The 24,470-nt window shown below is 37.8% G+C and overlaps 1 protein-coding gene across 5 annotated transcripts in view, besides 4 other annotated features; it reads right to left on the bottom strand.

Annotated features, from left to right (window-relative positions):
* Positions 1-18,070, bottom strand: part of HELB (DNA helicase B) — a 41,151-nt gene extending 23,081 nt beyond the window's left edge. For 4 of the 5 annotated variants that reach the window (NR_135080.2, NM_033647.5, NM_001370285.1 and 1 more), the window contains exons 1-7: positions 17,773-18,070; positions 15,413-15,832; positions 14,049-14,218; positions 9,955-10,857; positions 6,400-6,577; positions 5,180-5,321; positions 1,771-1,925 (exon numbers count right to left, since the gene is read on the bottom strand). Coding sequence is in view for 3 of the 5 variants with exons in the window: in NM_033647.5 (NP_387467.2) it covers positions 1,771-1,925; positions 5,180-5,321; positions 6,400-6,577; positions 9,955-10,857; positions 14,049-14,218; positions 15,413-15,832; positions 17,773-17,959 (2,155 nt within the window). In the remaining 2 variants the exon portion in view is untranslated. The remainder of the gene's footprint in view (positions 1-1,770; positions 1,926-5,179; positions 5,322-6,399; positions 6,578-9,954; positions 10,858-14,048; positions 14,219-15,412; positions 15,833-17,772) is intronic. The other variant, NR_135081.2, reaches the window with a different exon arrangement.
* Positions 16,740-17,049: an enhancer, noted in NCBI's record as "active region_6619". NCBI's record gives its function as "activates an Ori minimal core promoter by ATAC-STARR-seq in GM12878 lymphoblastoid cells {active_cell/tissue: GM12878}" and the evidence as "EXISTENCE:reporter gene assay evidence [ECO:0000049][PMID:35858748]".
* Positions 17,080-17,179: an enhancer, noted in NCBI's record as "active region_6618". NCBI's record gives its function as "activates an Ori minimal core promoter by ATAC-STARR-seq in GM12878 lymphoblastoid cells {active_cell/tissue: GM12878}" and the evidence as "EXISTENCE:reporter gene assay evidence [ECO:0000049][PMID:35858748]".
* Positions 17,811-17,890: an enhancer, noted in NCBI's record as "active region_6617". NCBI's record gives its function as "activates an Ori minimal core promoter by ATAC-STARR-seq in GM12878 lymphoblastoid cells {active_cell/tissue: GM12878}" and the evidence as "EXISTENCE:reporter gene assay evidence [ECO:0000049][PMID:35858748]".
* Positions 17,951-18,000: an enhancer, noted in NCBI's record as "active region_6616". NCBI's record gives its function as "activates an Ori minimal core promoter by ATAC-STARR-seq in GM12878 lymphoblastoid cells {active_cell/tissue: GM12878}" and the evidence as "EXISTENCE:reporter gene assay evidence [ECO:0000049][PMID:35858748]".

Below are 24,470 nucleotides of genomic sequence, written 5' to 3'. Positions count from 1 at the left end.
CAACAATATTTTAGGTAGAATTAAGTGAAGTGGCAAAGAAAGAGATCTATTTAACTAAGTCTCATTTTCCTCACCTGTAAATAGGACCTACTATTAACTAAGCTGTGAAAAGAAACATTAGCTATTAATTATTTAACATACATTTCTAAGTCACAAAACAATATGCAGCTTATAAACCAATTTATGTAAAACTGAAATAAATATGATTGTATATGGATATAATAAGGTTAAAAGGATAAACACCAAGCTTTTACTATGTGTGTGACCTTAATGGGATTGTCCTGGGGGAAGAAGAGAAAGGAAAATTACCAGGGAACATTAATTCTTACTTCAAACATTCCTGTATCATTGACTTTTTTTTTTAAAGAGTATAAATTGTTTCTCAAATCATTGGCCCCCACAATCTAAAGCAATCTTGCAACAAATTTAATCAGTCACTGGTAAGTATTTAGTTAAGTTTACTTGATTCTTTGTACTCTGATGTTTGAAAATATATTTGTTCACTTTTTAATTATCTGTTTCCCACACTAGAATGAAAGCACAATAACCTCAGGGACAATTTTTTTTTAATCTTTTCCTCTGCTTTATCTATTGTATTGTATCTAGTATATAACAGGAGTTCAATAAGTATTTGCTGAATGAAAAATAGAAAAAAAAAGTTTCTACAATAAACAAAAAAAACCAAAAAAGCACATTATAGAACACTATGTATGATCGCATTTATTTAAATACATTGTTGTAACATGTAAATGATCACTAACCCACGGGAAGTGAGACTGGGGACACACACTAAGGGGAAAAGGCTGACAGATGAAGTTGTATATCATTACTTTCACATACACAGTGAAAGTGGTTAAGTGGGAAGGATATACCTTTGAGAACAGTGGCAACTACAAAAAGTCCTCAGTAATAATAGTTTAAACCTTTACTAATTCAATTTTGAGAAAACCATTACACCATTTTTAAAAGGTTTGCTAGGTGAGTTTATAATGAAAATAAAGATCAACAGATAAGTTCAATCTATTTAAATAAATTCACTTGCAATAGCTAATTTAATAACATCTATTAGTCACAACAAACTGACATTTATAGAGTGTCTCACACTGATGAATGCCCTCAACCCTCGTAATAGCTCCACAGGGAGTTCCACTATGGTTCCCATTTTACAAATGGTTAAGTGACATGACACAGGTCATATACATAAAGGAGAAGATTTCCTGTCCCACACTCTTTCTCAACCCTGTCCTATTGTCATCCTAACATCCATAATAAGAAGCCATGCGTTTACCCATTTTATAAAACAGAACTATTAGGAATTAAACTTGGCAACAGTTTGACAGTCACAATTTTTGTTTCAGAAACAAAATAAAAGTATTTGCCTTTATTAGCATTGAGTATTTGTATTCAAAATAAATGTATCTGCTTTTCAAATAGCAAGGAAGGAAAAACTTCATTAATTAAGACTTGCTTTGTCCTAAATGAACCTGAATTATTGGGGCTTTGCTTTATTTTAAACAAAATCATCTACATCCATCTATTCAATCAACAAAATTTACTGAGCATTTATGTGTCAAGAGCTTACTTCTTTACCAAATTCTAGAGTATTCTGCTTTTGATGATTACTAAGTTCATTTATTTTCAATGTCTCTTTTTTTGCTAGCAATATTTCTCTTTACCATTAAAGAAAATTGTAACTAGTCATTTAATAACTATGTTACAAAACTTAAATAGTTATACTTAACTCTACATCTCATAGAAGTTTATACTTACAAGAGTGATGATTAGTTTTAGATGACTGAGAACTGGCATCCTCTTCTGGGAGCCTGACAAAAATAAATGTCTTATCTTGAATTGAGATGGGTAATGTTGGATTATCAGAGATATTTAGTTCTGCATCAAATTTTGGAAATTGGCGTCTTGAGATTCTTGAATAAAGATAACACACACACACAAAGAACATTATCATCCAAAAATGTCTTCATATATGATCAGAGCTAATGTCCTTATAATAATTAGTATCTATTAATAGATAACAGAGAGAAAAGGTCATCCAGGTATGCATTATAAATAGTAAATGAGTTTTATAATAGAAGACAATAAACTTATGGTACTACACATTAGCAATAACTTATGGTACTACACATTAGCAATCAGTCCTTAGCAAACTAAAAGGATCAGGAAAAAAAAATTATCAGAGGATTTACTAGGCACCATTCTGAAAACCTGGTCTATTTATCTCCAGACCACAAAAGAACCATGCAAGGAAGGTATTATCCTTTTTTCACAGGTAAACAATGTGAGGTTTAGTCAAGTATAGTGGGTTGCCCAAGGCCACAATAATAGAAAACAGGAGAATTGGGAGGCAAATAGGCGCATTTGACTCCATACCCCTTTCTATATAAATTAATTTGAACTGGTTCAGGCCTTTTCCATATGTTTACATTATATTCTTCTCCTTTCTTCTCTGTATATTCTACATATAATCCCACTTTCCCAACTGAACCAAGTATCCACATCTAGTTGCTTCTATTCCTTCCTCATCCTTCTTTCATTCTTATATTTTCCGAGGCTAGCAAATCATATCAGAAAACAGAGTAAGGTATGGTTATTTGGAAGAAGATTGACTCCTCGAACAGAACTAACAGCAGCCTGGTTATCAGAGGTGGTGGTACCCTACTGTGTCTTCTTCACCTTTTCCCAAACAAAAGTGGAAAGGAACAGAGAGGGAATGAGGCTGTTCTTGCTGGCGATAGCCCAGATTTAATTGGGACCTGAAGAATCATCATAGATTTCCTGTTTTGCTTCTGACCCAAGGCATGTAGCACCTTCTATCTCCAGGACCGTTTCCCTGGTATATAGCAGGGATCCTTCATAGTCAATAAATACTTGAGGATTATGATTAAGATGAAATGATGAAAGGAGCACAGCTAGAACCAAATGATATTGAAAAAGTTACTAAAAGGAATTCCTGAGTTTCAGATAAAATTGAGTTCTGAGAAAGCTAATATGCTTCAGATTCCTCCACGTTTCTTGGACTTTAAAATGACTAATCGTCTACCAAAAATGGGGTGGTCTTTAGGTAGAAGCAGAAAGATTACAGGAAAAGATTATTCTACATCCAACTCCATTAGTTTTCTTAATGTCTTAATATGAACCCACACTGTCTACCCTATTCCTGTCAATTCCTCCTCTACTCCCACAATTTTGTCCAAGGTAGACAGAGGCTTAGAGAAAGTAGGTTTTGAAAATTCTAGTTCAAGCTTGTCTGGCCCACGAGCCATGAGGCCAAGTATGGCTTTAAATGCAGCCCAACACAAATTCATAAACTTTCTTAAAACATTATATTTTTTACAATTTTTTTTTTTTGAGATGGAGTCGCGCTCTATCACCCAGGTTAGAGTGCAATGGTGCAATCTCAGCTCACTGCAACTTCTGCCTCCAGGGTTCAAGCGATTCTCCTGTCTCAGCCTCCCGACTAGCTGGGATTACAGGTGCCCACCACCACACTCAGCTAATGTTTGTATTTTTTTTTTTTTTTTTTTTTGAGATGGAGTCTTGCTGTATCACCCAGGCTGGAGTGCAGTGGCATGATCTCGGCTCACTGCAATCTCCGCCTTCCAGGTTCATGCCATTCTCCTGCCTCAGCCTCCCGAGTAGCTGGGACTACAGGCGCCCGCCACCAAGCCCGGCTAATTTTTTGTATTTTTAGTAGAGACAGGGTTTCACCATGTTAGCCAGGATGGTCTCGATCTCCTGACCTTGTGATCCACCCGCCTCGGCCTCCCAAAGTGGTGGGATTACAGGCATGAGCCACCGCGCCTGGCCTAATGTCTGTATTTTTAATAGAGATGGGGTTTCACCAGGTTGGCCAGGCTGGTCTCAAACTCCTGACCTCAGGTGATCTGCCTGCCTCATCCTCCCAAAGTGCTGGGATTACAGGCATGAGCCACCACACCTGGCTTATTATTATTATTATTATTATTATTATTATTATTTTAGCTTATCAGCTATCATTAGTGTTAGTGTATTTTACGTGGGGCCTAAGACAATTCCTCTTCCAGTGTGGCCCAGGGAAGCCAAAAGACTGGACACCCTTCTAGTTTCTGCTACATCCTACTTAGGAGATGTTCAAGCAACAAAACATTTTGTAAAAAAGAGTAAAAACCAGATATACATTTTGGTACAATGACTAACATAGACTCAGTATTCAAAGGTCCCATTATATCTAGAGATTTTAATACAGTCACATCGATTAATGATAGGGATATGTTTTGAGAAAAGCATCATTTGGCAATGTTCATCGTCGTGTGAATAGCATAGAGTGTACTTACACAAACCTGGATGGTATAGCCTACTATACATCTAGGCTATATAGTACAGCCTATTGCTCCTAGGCTACAAACCTGCACAGCATGCTACTGTACCAAGTGCTGTACCCAACTGTAACACAATGGTAAGTATTTGTGTGTATGTAAACATATTTAAACATAGAAAAGGTACAGTAAAATTATAGTTTTATAATCTTATGGCACCACTGTCATAGATGTGCTCTGTTGTTGACCAAACATTATGTGGCGCATGACTGTATTAAAAAAAAGTCATGAAATAATAATGATTGTGATTTTCATATGTGTGGATTATGGAGAAACCAAATGTCTGAGCTGACAGAGGATAACTCCAAAGGCTTATGCAAAGACGAAGGGAAGAGAAGGGTTCTTTTCTATTTAAGGGAAGTAAGATGCCATGGGTGCCTCTAGGATTCATCTAGGAGTGAAATACCACATTCAATTATTTTGCCTTCAGCTTTCTCCCACAAAAATTAGGGGATATTTCTTCCCCAATTCTCCCTTGCACGTAAATGAACTTATTTCCAAATCTCCATTCCCCTTGGGCTTATTCTAGTCCTTAAGCTTAATACAATTTTAATTCATATACATACTTTTAAAATCAGGAAACCTCATCCATTTTTAAATTTCAATAATAACTTATACTGGACCAGTAATGAAAAACATTAACTTTGCTTTTCTAACTGTAGGGCAAAAGGTTTATAGTTGAAGGATGGAAGAGTTTTGCTAAAAGGTGTAGTTAATGTATTGTACTAAATCATTCTAATTCAAAGGCCATTTTTTAAATTTCTAATACAACAGACAGAAAATGCAAACTCTTAGTAATATTATACCTTGTAGCATTGTCCACAATGAGCTGAGATTCTGCTCTATGGTTTGTCTTTAGCTCAATAGCACAATTTCTTGACTTAAGAGTCTCAAAAAGATCTTTCAGCAAGTTACCAGGTTCAATACTGGGTAACTGTCTAATGTCACCTAAAAGAAAAAAAGATACAGTAGCAAGACTTACTCTGAGAAAAAATACCCCCAAGATTGTTTAAAATTATTTAACAGTTTAAAGTTAAATACCTTACAAAAAACAACATTTAAACAGTAAAAGATATAAAAATAGTAATAACACAATAAGGTGACAAAATCTAAATAGAACATCTTTCATACCTATAACCACAGGGAAACTGGGTACAGGCATATGTTTTAGTCAACATATTAGGGGAAAAAAAAAACAGGCCTTAGACATTTGTAGTTAGTCCCTTTTTCAATCATGTTCAATGTCTTACTGAAAGTGGAAGAATCTACAGCCTCAAATAGATAAAATAAGTGTACAAAATATAAAACAAATAAATAAATGCATTTGATAACAGATACGTTCCAGTAATCTAATAGTGATGTTCTGCTCTATTAAAAATATTTTTTGCATGCAACAAATAAGCCCTAAATATAAGAAAAACATGTACTGGGGGAAGCAGAGAGAAGGCTTAAGCCATTAATACAATCAACTGCTTAAAAGACATCCTCAAATACCTAAAAAAATAATAATTTTTATATACAACTTGATTCTCCAATTGTGATTTTATTTTTTTCTCCATTAAATCATATGGTCTACAGAGCATGACTACCCAAGAGAATCTAACTGAATCTTATCAGAATTGGAAGGACTTAAGAGGCTGGTGAGGTCTGATTTATTAGCTTAGCATTATGAAATTACTTTTAAGTGGCCTATAATTCAAACTTTTTATCATTTCCAAATGATTCACATCCTGATTTACTCTGAATCTGTGGCACTTTTACTATTTTAATAGCCATCATTTAGGTGATTAGCAGTAGCCCTTAACAACCCTATTTCATTCACATCCCAGCCAGCTAATATCCTGGCCAAAACAAAACAACCCAAGCTGATTAGGAGAGTGGTCAGATTTAATTTCATGTAGCTTTGGTATCTTCGTGTAGCTTTGGTATCAATTCTGGTGTAAACAACCAACTAAATGGTGTAAACAACCAACTAACCACAATACTTTGAAATAAACATCAGAATTCCAACAATATTTTAACTTACCAAGGATAATAAGCTTAGAAAGTTTGGAGTGCTCACACAATAAATTTAAGACCGATTTGAAGATTCCTACAGATACCAAACTCCCTTCATCCACAACCAGAACTCTAACCGAAGAAAATTTCCATGGTTTGTTTGTGGTCATCATTGTTTGAGTCCATGAATAGAAGCTATAATTGACCTACAAGCAAAGTATGGCATTCCTAAAGTCAGGTTATAAAATCTACAAAACCAAAAATTAATAGCAAGTTATTTTGGGGCAAAACTCGTAAATTGGCAGGGGTGGGTGGGAAGTAAAGAAACACAAAAGTTATAGGGTTGAATATGCAGAACAGACAGACCAAATAAATCTAAAAACAAACAAACAAAAAATCAGATTGTTCCAAAATCTCAACACTTCCCTCATCGTTCTTAAACACAGAAAGCTCCCTATTCTTTTCCATTCCCAAATAAACCTTCTCGTGGCCATCTGAGATATGCCACTGAAGCTCTTCCCTTCTCCCAACCATAGTACTCCATTCTGGAATAAAAGCAGCGCTTTCTCAACCGAATTATGAAAATACTACTTTTTCTTTCAAGTACTCCAAACTTCCTCACCTCAAAACTTTTTAAAAACTACCACCGCACCACCCCCAACAACAAATAAACAACAAAATTCTTTATTACAAATGTAATACTATTTATTATTTTTTAATATAGATGAGAAAAAAATTGGTTGTAAAATTACAACCAGAGAACATTCAATATTTTAGTGTATATCATCCCAAAAATGTTTCTATGTCATCAGTATGAACATTTATAGGTTGAGTATCCCTAATCTGCAAATTCAAAATCCAAAATCCTTAACTTTTTGAGCACTGACATAACACTCAAAGGAAACACTCACTGGAGCATTTCAGATTTTCAATCTGTGTTATGTACAGATTTTCTAAATGGTATCATATCACATCTTCATCTAATTTTTCTACTAAAACTAGATTCAACTGTCTATTAAGTAAAGCCTTCATATTTCCTACCCAAATGCATCAATTCCCTTCAACAAAACCCCCTATGCTCACAGTAGCCATGTCTCACAACATTCGGAATTAGCCATTTCTTTTCTCTTATTTGATATATTCAATTTATTATCTTAGAAATGCTGACATTTTCCACTGTATTTCTAGTGCTACCAGCTCAATACAGGTTCCATCTATCAGCAACTTGATGACTCCAATAGCTTTGCAGCCAGGTTCCCCCACACACAATCCCAGGATGGGATTGCCCCATAAAATACAGGACATCCAGTTAAATTTGAACTTCAAATACACAATAAATGACTTTAGTATAAGCAAGTCAATGAATTATTTGATACAAACTTATACTAAAAAATTATTCATATTTTTATCTGATAAATCTGGCAACCCTAGTCCAAGGATGATAAATGGCACTCCAGTGCTCTTTCCGTGCTCTTGCACTCTCTCCTGAGCCTAAACATAGCTTCAGAAATATTCTCTCACTCAGCATCCCAAGCAGATATTAAGATACTACCAACTAATCAGAGCTGACACATCAGATAAAACTTGGTAATGATCCCTTTCGGGTGTCCCCTTCTAATTCAATCCTTCAGATTAATCAGACATGAAGGCATAGTACAAAAAAAAGATCATAAACTGATCAGAAAACTCTTCCACTGATAAACTACACTGAACATCTCTAGGTCTCCATTCATTCATGTGATAAATAAAGGTAACAGGCAAGATATGATAAGTGGCTCATGGCTCTATGACTCTATATGATCTTCCTTAAAACTTCTTTCACTCTCTTGCTTAGGAACCTAAATGGCTCCCTAAGAGATCAAGTTCGAGTTTCATTGTTAGTGTACAGCATCTGTAATAAATGAGGAAATAATGACACCATGGAAAGAACAACAAGCTGGAAGGCCAGAAATCTCCATTTCAAGTCCCAGTTCTACACCTAACTGAGATCTTAGGCAAAATGTTTAACATCCCCACACTTCAACTGGCGTTTCTGTAAATGTGGAGATAACATCACTTTATCAAGGATGTAATGAGATAAGTCAAAATACTTTACTAACTTTAAAGCTCGAATTCACTGTCTAACCCAAGTTTAATTTCCACTATTCTGTCAGACACAGGCTTCATTCCAGTCAATGAAGTCACCTCAAAATCCTCCAGGCACACTACGATCATATTCCTCGATGCCTTTGCAAAGGCCTTTCCCCTAAGTCCAATGTCCTTCTCCTCACCTGAGTCTCCATGTTCCTTGGAGTCCAATTCAATGATTACCTTCTTCAGAAATCTTCCAACTACCATGTTTCTTTATCTAAAAAATGGCAGGTCAGGGCTAGGGCTAGAGGAACCTCTCCAACTCTTTACAAGCTTAAACTCCATGATTCTTAATTATAGCCAATACTATTTTTTTCAAGAATGTTAATTTATTTGAAATTTTTATTATGTAACTACTATTTGTCTGGCACTGTTCTAGGTGGAAGAAATAAAGACTTATTCCAGATGAGCAAAGTCCTCACTTTCATCCTACAAAATATAGGCCTTTTACTTCCATTTCCAATGTTACTCAAAATGTGGTCTATGGACTGTGACATGTTTGTAACCAGCCCCCATGAGAAACAGATATTGTACCAGGATCTAAACTAACTATATCATTACGCCTACACTCTAGTGGGACTGAATTTTTGCTGTTGTTTTTAGACAAGGTCTTACTTTGTCACCCAGGCTGGAGTGCAGTGGTCTAAACACGGCTCACTGCAGCTTCGACCTCACAGCCTCAAACAATCCTCTCACCTCTGCCTCCTGAGTAGCTGGAACTACAGGTGCATGCCACCATGCCCACCTAATTTTTTAATTGTTTGTAGAGATGGGGGTCTCACTATGTTGCCCAGGCAAGTCTCAAACTCCTGAGCTCAAGTGATCCTCCCACCTTGGCCTCCCAAAGTGCTGGGATTACAGACAGGAACCACAGCACTGAACCCAATAGGTTTTTTTTTTTTTTCCATAAGACTTACTCAAAGAAGGAAGCAGTGCACTGATTTACTTCTACCATTAGCTCCTTTCTCATGCAAACTGGTAACAATTTACAGACTGCTGCTTTGAAAAGCATTGATCTAAATGATCAGTTACTGCAAGACAGGGACCCAGGAAACATTCAATAAATTCCTACTGATTGCTTTAAGAAATAAGTTTGTCTTTAAGGTAAATTTTTTTTGTTCGTTTGCTTTTTGAGATGGAGTCTCGCTCTGTTGCCCAGGCTGGAGCGCAGTGGTGCAGCCTCAGTTACTGCAACCTCTGCTTCCTGGGTTCAAATGATTCTCCTGACTCAGCCTCCCGAGTAGCTGGGATTACAGGTGTGTGCCACCATGCCTGGCTAATTTTTTGTATTTTAGTAGAGACAGGGTTCCACCATGTTAGCCAGGATGGTCTCCATCTCCTGACCTTGTGATCTGCCCGCCTCAGTCTCCCAAAAGTTCTGGGATTACAGGCGTGAGCCACTGTGCCCGGCCGACAAATGTTTTATCTACAGATGAAATGTCAAAGGTTTTACCTGACACAGTGTGTAGGCATGAAGACCAGTTTTCTGTCTTAGTAAGCCAGCTGCTTTCCCTGTAGGTGCTGTGAGCAAAACTTCTATAGCCTTGTCCGCCTCTAGTTGACTTTGCTCAGTAAAGGTAATCCATTCTTCTGAAGCATTCTGGTCTTGTTCAAAATCTTCACAGGCTTTTTTTACTTCTCTTTCTTCCAACTGCTCTATATGCTTAAAAAGACGGCTAACGATTGTGGTCTTCCCACATCCACCTTTCCCACTTATGACTGTCACAGGATTGGAGCAAATCATTTCCAAAGCAGCCACCTGATCCCGATCCAGTGGAACTTCAACCTGATCCTGATCCAGCTGAACTTCACTTATTTCTGCATTAATTTCATTTTCACCATTAGTCCAAATATGGTCACCATTGTCCTGTGTGTCCACAACATCCACAGGATTTTCTAATCTTACTTCATCAGGTTTGCTCTCATTCAATGCATCATCGCTTGAATTCTCAGGTTTTGTGGTGTGAATAGAGGCAAGCACCTTTTCGACATCGACACATAAATGCCAAGGAGGTTTCTTCATCAGGTCACAAATTGAAAAGGCGATGGCTCTTTCAGCATGGTAAAGGTCATAAGGGAAGACACAGGACTTCTCATATGTCACCACACCAATATCCTTCAAAAACTTCAGAGACTCTGAAGCAGCATGAAATGACATATGATTTGACAATGTCAAAGTTAAGTCATTCACTTCAACATATGTGTGCCCATCTTCTCTACATATCTGCTTCAGTCTGGAATACATTATTAATGCATTCTTCTCCAAATCAGTCATCAGCTGGAGAAGAGACTCACACTGACAAAATGCTATCCAACTTGCCTCACATCGCAGGAGTTTCCACTCTCTGTAGGTTATCTTTAAGAAATAAAGTTCAGGTTGGTTTATAAACATCATAAGTGTTTATGAATATGTTCTTTATTAATAATTTTTTAAATCCCAGAAGACATGAACTTCAACAAAATTTACAGAAAATACCATAGAACATCACTAATTTTCTAACTGGCTGCACCGTAATTAGAGATCTATATAATTTTTAAATAAAAATTATATTTTATCACACTAACACACAGTTTTAAAAGTGAAATAATACTATAAGGCTTATCAAAAAAATTATGAATCCTTTCCTTATCCCTTCTCATGCCTTCTAAAGGCAACATCTCCAACACTTTAGTTATTTCTTCCAGAATTTACTTCCATATTTCTAAGTACTATAGATATTTTTCCTTGATTTTTAAAAGATTTTAGATATTCATTATTAACTCCTTACTATGGAAAGTCTATCTCTATGGAAGGTCACTCTATTTTATACCATTACCTCCACAGGTGTTTCTTTGGTTTCTATATTTGAAAAATGTTGTAGTATACATTTTGTTCAATTTTGGTTAAATAGGTATTTATTATGCTTATGCAAATAGGATTCACAGCTGAGTGACAGGATGTACTCTGTTACATTAAGTTTTCTGTTGAACTCGGTGTGTATCATGAAGTTAACATCTGCCTCATTTTCTTGACTTGTTTAGTTTTCTATGTGTCTATCAACAATTCTGCCTAAACTCTGCAGAAGAGATACAGAACTCCCTTCACTATAATCTACTGAGCACGTCATCTATCGGCTCCATTTTTTCTTAATGGAGACATCACTCCTGAGCCCTCCATACCTTTTATGGGCCGAACTGTGTCCCCCCAAAATTCATATGTTGATGTCCTAACCCCCAATATCCTCAGAATGTGACTATATTTGGAGACAGGGTTTTAAAGAGGTAATTAAGGTTAAATGGGACTATTCACCTCATTGATGAGGTCCTCGAGATGGGCCCTACTCTAATATGACTGGTATTCTTATAAGAAGAAGAGATTAGGACATAGACTGGCAAAGAAGGAAGGCCATGTGAAGAACTAATAAGAGATAATGACCATCTACAAGCCAAGGAGAGAAGCCTTGGAAGAAATCAACCCTGTCCACACCTTGATCTCAGACTTGTAGCCTCCAGAATTGTAAGACAAAAAATTTCTGTTGTTTAAGCCAACCAGTCAGCAGTACTTGTTCTGGCAGCCCCAGCAAACTAATACAATACTTGGATAGCAGTTTACATGCTGAATGGTGAGACCTCAGGCCTCCTTTTCTCATGAGTCCCAGAATGCTGCATCCAGGCTTAAAATCTCCACGTATGATTCTTCTCTGTGAAGAGTGACTGGACAGGAGAAAACACTTCCAGATCCTGACATGGCGGGAGGGAGGGGACTGTTCCCTAATGAAAAACCTGAGTCACCACCAGATAATCTCTGCCTTATCCCCACCTGGTATCCCCAAGCCTGGATGCTCTCAGTTGAATGGCATCAGGCAAGAGAAACCTCTATCCTCTTGCTAGGGTGGGAAGCAGTAATCACTTAATGCCCACAATGGGGAGAGAATCTAGGACTTCAACAGCTCCTTAAACAGGGGTTCACTTAATCCAGAAGGCAGAAAATACAGTAGCTGATATGTAATGCTTTAATTTTTTTTTTTTTTTTTTTTTTAGAGGAGGTAGAAGACCAGGTGTGTTAGCTCATGCCTGTAATCCCAGCACTCTGGGAGGCCAAGGTGGGCAGATCACTTGAGGACAGGAGTTCAATACCAGCCTGGCCAACATGGTGAAACCCTGTCCCTACTAAAAATACAAAAATTATCTGGGTGTGGTGGCACACGCCTGTAATCCCAGCTATTCGGGAGCTGAGGCAGGAGAATCGCTTGAACCCGGGAGGTGGAGACTGCAGTGAGCAGAGCTCACACCATTGCACTCCAGGCTGGGTGGGAAAAAAAAAAAAAGAAAAGAAAAGGGGAGGTAGAGAGAAAGGGATAGTGGCAGGGAAGGAAGAAGGCTGGCCCTAGGATCTTGATAGACATAGCCTCAAACTCACTTGACCACAAAAGAAAAACGCAAGGTCTGTGCTTCACCAGGAAGATGGTGAGCCTAGCAAGAGTGAGAGTAAGGGCCTGATCGCATCTCCATTCTACACTGGTAAGGTCTCAATAAATGTTTACTCAATTATATTAGCCTAACACAATGTGTATTGTTAATAATAAAATGTTATATAATTTATTCTTGAAATGTGAACAGGCTCTAAAGACCTCTAAAAGAGCTAAAAAATGATCTTCCCTTCTTAATATCTCTATAAAGAACATTGGATTTTACAGGGTTTTTTTAAACAAAAAGGTAAACTATTATTATCTGCCTTTTACATGTAATTGCTCTTCCACTCTTCTCCACTGAATAAATATATATAATAATCTCATGTTCCAGAATCTCATCTTTAAAAGCATACTGAATTCATAGACATTTTATGTAAGGGAAAAATTCCTTATTCCAGTATTTCTCAAACTCAGCATCTGCAAACATTCTTGAGGTTCCAAGAATTTTCTCAGAGTTTCTCAACTGTATTTTTCTTTGCAAAACCACCTTATAAGCAAGAACTACCAAGATTAAGTACCACATTTGGTTTCCAATACCACTGGAGCCTCAGTGTGCCCCTTTACTACTCATAGTCTCTAATAATAAGAACAGAAGCGGATTCATTTGTAAATGATGTTAGTGTACAAAATAAAAATCAAATGACACCATGATATACCACATGAATAATGAAAATTGTCAATAGTTCAAACTGGAAGTGGGAAATTGAGTTGCACAGCAGAATGGACTTGCCAAATTTGTAAGAGCTGTTGACCTCAATAAGATTCAAGCTGCAAATGACAATTTAGTTACAGGACATTTGTCACATTAAATTACATAACTAAATTAATACCCATAATTTGAATGTCATCAATTTTTTTTCATTTACAAATTTATGCAACTTTACAAGTTGCATAACAACTTATAAAATGTTCTTATGCTATAGCTTCTTATGCTATAGCCATAAGAAGTTTATGTACAGTTGCAACATTTGAATAAAAATAAATCAATACTGGGGTCCACACAAATTTTTTTCCTTTGAAAGAGAAAGGAAAATTGCCAAATCTGAAACCATGCCTTACACAAGATTACTATATGCTGAGCAAATGTTTTACTTACTTTACTAAATCCAAGTTTCCACGGATGTGTACCTAAAATCTCTTCTATCTCTTTCAACATCTCTTTAGAACCTGACCCTATGATCCATTTAAAGTGTCGAGGCAGAAGAACTGGAAGGAATTCCATTATCTTCGGAAACTGCAAAGCTGTCATTACATTTCTAAATGGAACTACAAGATATCAGAAAGGAACAAAGTAAAACATAAATGAACCCAAAGAATGACTGATTTGAAGTACTTTCTCATTTTGCACAACCGATTCAAGAAACCCAAGTCAAAAACAGATTAGTACACTTGCTTTAACCAGTAAGAAAATTTTGATCATATTATGACAATTGCTTTTGTACTGAGATGGTTTTCATTGTGTTTAACACCAAAATTTATGTTCTTTAAATGCTTAAATAATGATTTCTTAGCCTTTTGTTTCCTACTGCCTGCACTATAACAGAATAAAAATTCTGACTCAATTATATAAAGATAAATTTAAAGCTAAGGATATAAAATAATTTACATAGTAACCTTCATAATCATTTTCTATAATCATAATCTTTTGTCATTGAAATCATTCATTGATGTACCATCAAATTTATTTGATACAATTAGGAAATGAAATATTCCATATATATGAATATCCAGATAACAAATCATATTAAAAATTACTTGAAACCATTTTGGACTGAAGTATTTCCTAAATGTATTATTCACATCCTTGTCGTTCTTCTCTACCTCTTTAAACAGAATCATTTACAACTGATTTTTTTTTTTTTTTAACTGAGACGGTGTCTCACTCTCACCTAGGCTGGAGTACAGTGGTGCAATCATGGCTCACTGCAGCCTCCATTTCCTAGGCTCAAGTGATCCTCCTGCCTCATCCTCCCAAGTAGCTGGGACTACAGGTATATATCACCACACCTGGCTAATTTTTAAAAAATTTTTTGTAGAGACAAGGTCTCACTACATTGCTCAGGCTAGTCTCGATCTCCTGCGCTCAAGTGATCCTCCTGCCTCAGTCTCCCAAAGTGGGATTACAGACGTGAGCAGCTACCACACCTGGCCAGCAACTGAATTTTTTTTTATTAATGATTCAAGGTAATCGCTGTGAATACAAAAGTTAGAAAGAGAGATTAAAATCACAGTTTTAGAGGTGGAAAGGAACTGGAAGATTTTAAAGATCAGCTCATATAATCCCTTCATGCTACAGATGAGAAACCTGAAATGTCAATGGCATACTCCAAAAGCAACATAAACACATTTTTCACCAAATGGATTTTTAAAAAGAATACTATGCTAGTGGTAACATTTTAAACACTGTAGTTATTAAGTATGTCAATTACACTGAAAGTTGATGATAAAAATCACACTTACTTGTGTTTTCCAGAGGAAGACTCATCTCATTGTCTAGGAACAACTCTTCCTGACCATTCTGTGTAGGCTGCTTTTGATCTTTCCTTCCAGTTTCCTTGTGGAAAGTTCTTAGTGTTTCCCTAAGATTTTCAAAGTTTAGGTTTTTGTAGTTTGATACCTCCTTTACCCATGTTAAAAATTTATTAACATCATCACTGGAGACCTCACACTCTTTAAGAAAGAGAGCACAGATATGTTTTTGATTTGGTGGTGACATATCAGACTGCAAAAAGTAAGACGGAAATCCTTGAACTTGATATTGATAGCTCCTTGATCCCACCACAGGCTTTACTTGTACCTTCACTCTCCACCAAGCACCTGTTATCGGAAAACGTCCAAACACTTTACATGTCTCTTGTGTGTTTTCATCACAAATAGAAACTAAAAAAAAACAAACAAAAACCCACAAAAGTTAACTCTGGAGATTATTTAGAAACCGTTTCCTCAAAGTTTCATCAAACTTACCACTATCTTTAATCTCCCTACAGCACTCTCTAAAGATGTCTGGTAGGGTGCCTGTAACACTGCATTCTGCCTACCTCTTTTTCTGTCTCCCTCCACTACACTGTAAATACTAAAACAGGACACTGTTTCGTTTGTCTTTGTATTCCAAAACGCAAGCACAGTACACAGCAGGTGTCTGCTGTTCCTCTTCTAAAATCAGTCCCCTCTCTGCTACTCTTGACTTCAGCCAATACTGGCCTTCATGCAGTTTCTTTAAAATGCCATGGCCCTTCACTCAAGTTATTCCATCTGCCTTAACTGATCTCCCCTTTACTGTTTACTACATTTACTACAGACCTCAGCTTAACTATCACTTACTTAGAAAAGTCTTCCCTGAATCTCATGTATAAAACCTCTCAAAGCACTATTTAGCATTCCTTCTAAGCATTTAGTAACATTATAGTTACTTCTGTGATTAAAGAATGTTTGTTTAATACACTAGAGGGTAAGCTTCATTAAGACTGCAACCTTGTTATTTTATTTCTCTAGGTTTTCCCAGCACCAAACATGCTAGCCAGTTGATGATACTTTAGAATGACGACTAAGCCCTCCACAAATACTTGAAACTTTTCTGCCTAAATCTGCGCTGTCCACCCACGTGGCTATTTAAATTAAAATGTAATAAAACTTAAAATTTCTCTCCTCAGTTACACTAGCTGGATTTCAAGTTCTAAACAGCTACATATGGCTAGTGGCTATTATACCAGACAGTGCAGATATAAAACACTGCCATGATCATGGAAAGTTCTACTGAACAGCACCGGTCGGCACATTAAAATATTTTAAGTCTCAGTCACAAAGTATACATAACAGGTATAACTTATAGCACAGGAAACTACCTCATAGCACAGGAAACTACTTATACAAGGTTTACCCGAACCACAAGGTTACTAACACCAATTAACAATCATCTGTGCACTGAGGTGTTCCTTGTGTTTCGTTTTTCTTTTTCTTTTCTTTCCTTTTCGTTTTTTGAGATGGAGTTTCATTCTTGTTGCCCAGGCCGGAGTGCAATGGTGTGATCTCAGCTCACTGCAACCCCCACCTCCTGGGTTCAAGCAATTCTCCTGCCTCGGCCTCCCAAGTAGCTAGGATTACAGGTGTGCGACATCACGCCCGGCTAATTTTGTAGTTTTGTTGTTGTTGTTGTTGTTTTACTAGAGACAGGTTTCACCATGTTGGTCAGGCTGGTCTCGAACTCCTGACCTCAAGTGATCCACCTGCCTCGGCCTCCCAAAGTGCGTGAGCCACCGCGCCCGGACTGTTTTGTTTTTCCAAGAAGCTGAGGAAGAACCACGTATTTGACTCCAGGCAATATAGGATAATAATTACAAGTTCTCATTCTATAGAACTTGAGGATAAGTGGTCAGAAGGAAAAATAAAAGTTCCGATTCTGGGTGGAAATAGAGACTCAACATCCACTGTTTCCTTAAGCGTAAAACTACCTTACATTAAAGGTACATTAAATTAAAGGACGACCATTAAAATGAGAATAATTTTAAAAAAAAAAAAAAAAAAAAAGGGCAACCCGCTCGGGTCCCCTTCCACACTGTAGAAGCTTTGTTCTTTCGCTCTTTGCAATAAATCTTGCTGCTGCTCAAAAAAAGAAAAAAAAAAAAAAACCACATAGTATGTGTCCAGTTAAAGTCACTGCTATTATTATAGTCATAATTTTACCCTTGGTAGGATGAAGCAGCTAGACCACTGATAAGCTAAATCTGTTAGCACGACTGGGTGCCTTGCTCAGGGCAAAGCCAGAATGGGAAGCGCTACTTTGGACCCTCCAACCCCATCCCCCGGGCAGACGCCTTCCTCACCGCGGAGGCACCCGGGGAGGCTGCCAGCCTTTACGCCCCCACTGCAGAGCTCCTCGGCGTCGATGAACACGGACTCTTCATCCTCCTCCACGTCGTCGTTTAGGTAGTCGTCGTCCTCCTCCACCAGATCCCTGGGTGGGAGCAGAGGTCCCTGAAGTTGGCGCAGGTACGGACTCGACCTGGCCATGCTTCTCCTGAACTCAACCCAAACAACTCGGGAAAACCCTGGCTAACTGCATGGTCATGATCAGCCAATCAGTTCTACGACTGTAAGGCCATCAACTTCCGGGAACGGCCTGGCGGCCGCCAGCGTACATAAAACCTGAAAGGCAGCGAAGCTCCGCCCCAAGTTTCCAGGAATTGCCGAGGGGAGGGCATGTGGAAGGGGCGGGGCAAGGCGGGTTAGGGGCGGGGAAGGGAGAGCGAGGGGCTGGGAGATGGGCGGGGCTTCCGCTCCTTTTGGAGCCTGGTGCTGGGCGGTGATTATCAGGAAGGTGCTGGGACGAAATCAGCGCTGGGGAGTGACAGGCGTGGCACCTGCAGAACCGCCAGTGCACGGCATCTCCTGCGGAGAGAGAACGGGGAGAAAGTCCACTTCTGCTGAGCTTGAAGAACCTGGAAAAGCAACCCCCACCCCAACCTTCCCAAAACGAAAGTATAGCAGATGCCCTTCTGGAATCGGATCTAGGGCAGGGACCTAGAATTCTGTCTTTTTAATGTACATTCCGGGCTGTCCATTTTGATGCTCAGCTAGGTTTGGACACCACTGGATTAGATAACATTCAAAGTTATTTTTATCCTTTCCTCTGTGAGTACACCCTGGTCTCCCAAACTTATTTAAGCTGGGCTGCTACCTGCTGACAGTGGGGCAAAAGTGTCTCTTTGCAGCCCAGAGTATAGACAGGAATAGGAGAAGGGAAATAGAAGAGAAAGGAACGTGGTTTTAAAAACTATTATGGGGCTATGATTCTCTTACTTGATGAGGATGGTACTTGAAAGTCTTGGTACTATTTAAGAAATACCATAAATATATTACTACATTACTGTATTGATACTGTTTATTTTGGGATTATTCCTGAAATAACTAAACACACACTATTTACTAAATCCAAAAGCACCTGATGCTATATTTAAATATATATAAACGACAACTAGCACCAAATATTTAAGAAAAATGTATAGGAGAAAATATAAAAATTGATTTCTTTTCCTTTGGGTACCAATTGAAAAATGCCCACTTTTGTTGCTTTTAAAAGAAATACTGTTGCAGCTGACAAAACACCAGTGTTTCCAAGGATTGGCTATATGAGGTTGAATTCCTTTGACATTCACATGGCTACTGTTTCCACCACAACATTGAATCTCCTCTGACAAATGTCACACTTACTGTCCTCTTCGTTTCAAAAACCAGTGGATACTTTTCAGCCTTTGTTTTACCTGACCTCTCAGCAGTATTTGATACTGATAAGTATTTTCTTCTTGTAGCATTCTGCTGCCGGGGCTTTTGCAGCTTGCCTTCTCAGATTTTTCTCCTTTCTGGCTATTTACAGTCTTGGACCCCTCTGCTTGCCTGTAAGTACTGTTATTCCCCAAGGCTCCATCCCAAGCATCTTCTTGCTCTATAATCCTTTCCTCAATCATCCTTCACCTACATGCTAATGACTCAGCCTAATCTGATCTCCAAACCATACAAACAACTGCCTAAACACTGTCAGTCACTACTGGATGCCCCTTGGCTACTTAAGACTCAGCATATCTAAACTGCAACTTATCATTGGCTTCCCAAATCTGGGTCACTTATGAGTATATACATGGGATATTCTTGTTACCAACATGATGACTTGGGCACAAGAATCAACTCTAGATCTCTAGATGTTAAACTTTTTTTTCTTTCTCTCTTTTTTTTTGGGGGGTGGGGGGACAAGGTCTCATTGTGTTGCTCAAGCTGGTCTTGAACTCCTAAAGTCAAGTGATCCTCCTGCCTCAGTCTACCAAGGTGCTAGGATTACAGATGTGAGCCACTACACAGCACAGGTGTTCAACTCCTCCTCCCTTTTTTTTTTTTTTTTTTTTGGTACAGGTCTATAGTGGCACCATCTCAGCTCACTGAGGCCTTGACCTCCCAGCAGGCTCAAGTGATCGTCCCATATCAGCCTCTCAAGTAGCTGGGACCACAGGCTCACACCACTAAGCCCGGCTAATTTTTTGCAATTTTTTGTAGAAACAGGGTTTCGCCATGGTGTCCAGACTGGTGTCGAACTCCTGAACTCAAGTAATCTGCCGGCCTCGGCCTCCCAAAGTGCTGGGATTACAGGCGTGAGCCATTGCACCTGGTCACTATATGTTCAGCTTCTATTCATATAGTTCAATTGCATTTTATTGGATAGTGTAGATAGGAATTTAGGATGATAAGAATCTTACTTCTTTACCTATTGTTTTCTCATTCTTTTAAAAAAAAAGTTAACAATTCTGGCTTTCTGGATACCATCTTTACCATACATAGTAAGCAGTGGTACTCAAATCTGGCTGTGCATCAAAATCACTTGGGATGTGTTCTAAAATTGAGATACCTGGATCTACCCTGAAGCTACACTTCCCAAAACAAAAAACAACATAGACATAGGTTATCTACTGTGTGATTTTTGTAATAGCAAATTATTGGAAATAGCAGAGATGTTGAACAGCAAGAGACTAATGAAATAAACTGTAGTACATCCACACAATGGAGTATTCTTCAGCTATTTTTTTTATAAAAAGAAAGAAAGATTGCCACAAATTGGTAGGGAGTAGTTTCCAAGATACTGTTTTAAATTAGAGAAAGCAAGATGTAAAACAATGCATATCATTTTATTTGTATGTGTCAGTGTTACGAAAAAAAAAAAAATCACATGAAAGATAAACCACAAGTTAATGAAAATAGCCAGGAATGGTGGCTCGTGCCTCTAATTCCAGCACTTTGAGAGGCCAGGGTAGGAGGATTGCTTGAGCCCAGGAGTTTCAGACCAGGTTGGGCAAAATAGCAAGACCTTGTCTCAAAAAAATAAATAAATTAGCCAGACACAGTGGCGTGTGCCTGTAGTCCAGCTACCCTGGAGGCTGATGTGAGAGGATTGCATGAGCCCAGGAGGTTGAGGCTGCAGTGAGCCAGAAGAAGGTGAAGGAGGAGAAGGAGGAGGAGGAGGGGGAGGTGGAGGGGGAAGAAATTGATGAAAATAGTTACCCACAGAGGAGATGGAAACATGATAGGACAGAAAGGGGATACGGACAAGAGCTCTGAGATTAATTTATTATGTAGTTTGACTTCTGAATCATGTAAATGTTGTACACATTCAAAAAATAAAAGAAACAAAAGCAAAACAGAAAATTGAACACAAACAGAAACAAACAAATCTATCAAGTGAATTGCATAACCACTAAGAGAAAATAATCATTTCAAGTTATGTTTCAATACTTTGGGTAAATATTTTAAGTTATTCTAACTGTACACCCCTGGTAGGTTATACTCTGCAGACAAAAGATCTAAAAAATGATCTTAAACTTCACTCATTATGGTTAATGTTTGTTGTAATATTGTTAGTGTAATTTTGAAATTATATATTGTAGGATAAAGAAAATAAGTAAATGTATTCATATTTTATTAAAAGTTTTAAATGTACATGGAAAGAAATACAAATGTAAAATAAAATAAGTTGAAAAAAGCTCCTACAACATTAAACTGGAATTGAAAATATCAATATGGGCTTGTGATTTCTTAAAATGTATTATCTAGTTCTGTGTGCCAAAAGAACCTGAAAGCAATGTAACCCCAGTAACTCTGATCACACCCACCATCTCAATTTTCTGTTTGTTTGTTTGTTAGACAGGGTTGTGCTAGAATTCAGTCTCACAATCATAGCTCACTGTGACCTTGAACTCCTGGCCTCAAGTGATCTTTCTGCCTCCCCCTGCCCAAAGTGCTGAGATTACAGGCCACTGCACCCAGCCTAATCTTGGTTTTTTAATCTGGGTGACTTTTTGTTTTCAAAAGCAAGGACCAGCCGGGTGTGGTGGCTCACGCGTGTAATCCCAGCACTTTGGGAGGCCGAGGTGGGCAGATGATTTGAGATCAGGAGTTCGAAACCAGTCTGGCTAACATGGAAACCCTGTCTCTACTAGAAAGATAAAAATTAGCCGGGCAAGGTGGTGCGTGCCTGTAATTCCAGCTACTTGGGAGGCTAAGGCAGGACAATTGCTTGAACTGGGGATGTGGAGGTTGCAGTGAGGCAAGATGGTGTCACTGCAATGAAAAAAAAAAAAGGAAAATTATAGTATCAAAAGGAATAGTGACTGCACTTGATTATAACATGCTGAGTAAATAAAAATTCACATGTTAATTGTGATAGTTAAAAAAAGAGAGAGAGAAATGCCAGTTAATAAGAATTTTTAAGAAGAAATTATAAAAATAGAAACCAGCATTTTCCAACCCCCTAAAGTAACGACTGATTCAAGCAAGTATCACCAAAGGATATGAACATCACTGGGGAACTGATAGTCTCCTGGCAGTAATAGATTACGAATTGCAAAGGGAAAAGTGTACCTATACAGTGAAGATACTTGTCACTCACCCTTTAATCAAGTTATCAAACACAGTGTCAATAATGGGACACAATTGATGTGTATTTCATGCTATGACGCAATAAGATATACATAAAATTAGCTATTAAGTATTCTTACCAAAAGTATTTAACCTGATTTTAATCAAGGCTCTAGACCAGTACTGTTCAATAGAGATATATATCATATGACCACATATGTAATTTAAAAGTTTCTAGTGGCCACATTGAAAAAAGAAATAGGTGACATTTTAATGATGCATTTTATTTAATCCAAAATATCCAAAATAGTATTTCAACATGGTAATCAATATAAAAATTATTAACAAAATATTTTACATTCTTTTTTTTTTATCCTAAGTCTTTAAAATCTGGTCTGTATTTTACCCTTACTGCACACTTCGATTTGAACTAGTCATATTTCAAGGACTCGAAATCCATGTGTCTAGTGACTACCATATTAGACAGCACAGTTGTAGACCGAATTTCCAATTTGCCCCAAATCCAAGGAAGTGAGGTACCAACTGAATGATACCATAAGGAAACAGAAAGATCTAGAACAGAGGTGACAAAACTTCATTTTGCAAAGGGACAGATAGTAAATATTTCAGGCTTTGCATGCTATATATGGTCTCCATCACATAATACTCCTCCACCTCCTCCTTCCTTCTCTTCTCCCTCTTCTTTTTTTATAACCCTTTAAATATGTAAAGACTATTCTTAGCTCTACGGCTGTACAAAAACAGGCTGTAGTTTTCCCACACCGGATCTAGAATATGGGACATTCTACAAGACAACTGACCTGGATATTCCAAAACATCAATGTCATAGAGAAAAAATTGGGGATTCCAGGATTGCTGGTGGCCAGTCAGTGAAGTTGAAGTTGAAGGTATAAGGAATGGGTGTGAGATGAGGCTGGTAGGAAGTGGGTGGCAGCCAGAACTTGCAGTGTTTCAGGAGGCCACGGCAAGGTCAGCAAGATGCCACTAGAGGTTTTAAACAGAAGCTTAACCATTCTTTTCTGAAAACGTGGCTATTCATCTCCCATAAACTAAACTTTCATTGCAATGTCCCCTTGAAAGTTATCCTAGGAAATTGTTATTAAATAAATCAATTAATCTGAATCATGAAGCAATACCTTTCAGTATCTCATACATAATGCTTCTCACTTGGAAGATTTTTTTCCTGTGTTACATAATGTGTTTTCTAGTCATGTCAGAAATATATTTGTTTTAATGTGCCTGGCTGGCATCAAGGCAATTAGCACAATGTGAAGTGATCATTAGCAAAACCTAAACATTGTATTGGGGGAATGGGGAGGGAATAAGATTTAGTAATCTGTTTAATTACTGTGATGAGGCAAAGGATGCAATTAAGGTGCAGTTGTGATAATGACAGTTTCACAGTTATATTGAAAGCGCTACATATTAATTTATCCTGGTAAATGTTTAAACTAGTATTTTGTCTGTTTTGTTTATAAAAGTGGGATCCAAAGTGGTATGACAGAGTTAAGACAACAAATGAGTCAATAACACAGTACCATAGAGATGCAATTACATACAGAGTAGAAATTATAATAAAGACATGTTAGATTACATTCAGTCAACAGACATACATACAAACAGCATGTAGTACTAGTATCCACTGATAGTGAATTCTCCTCTTTCTAGACACACAGTAGCATTGTACTTCCCCATCTATTTGAAATTCATCATGACCATCTGACTTACTTTGACCAATGAAATGAGAGCAACATGTCACTTCAGGGTAGAAGCATTTAATTGGGGGTGACCAATTCTCCACCTCTGATTATTTCTTGCTTTGTGAGGTTCAACAGTGAGTCATCATATAATGAACAACTGCCCTGGAGAGTTATGTGAACCACAGTAGATTTCAAACTAATGAGAATAAATCTTTGTTGTATGAATGCACTTAATGCACTGGGGTTGTGGAATTGTTTCTTAAGTCATCAGAACCTAGCCTATCCTTCCTGACACAATAGTGATCATGTAATAGTTGCGTTTGGTGGATACAGTTGAAAGACATAAGGAAACAGTAATGGCCCTTGCCAAAAAGTCTCTATAATTTAATTGAGAAGATATGTAT

The sequence above is a fragment of the Homo sapiens genome, chromosome 12 (genome assembly GCF_000001405.40).
Source record: "Homo sapiens chromosome 12, GRCh38.p14 Primary Assembly".
Taxonomy (NCBI): Eukaryota; Metazoa; Chordata; class Mammalia; order Primates; family Hominidae; genus Homo; species Homo sapiens.
Note: the sequence above shows the minus strand (reverse complement) of the source record. Positions and strands in the feature narration are given on the sequence as shown.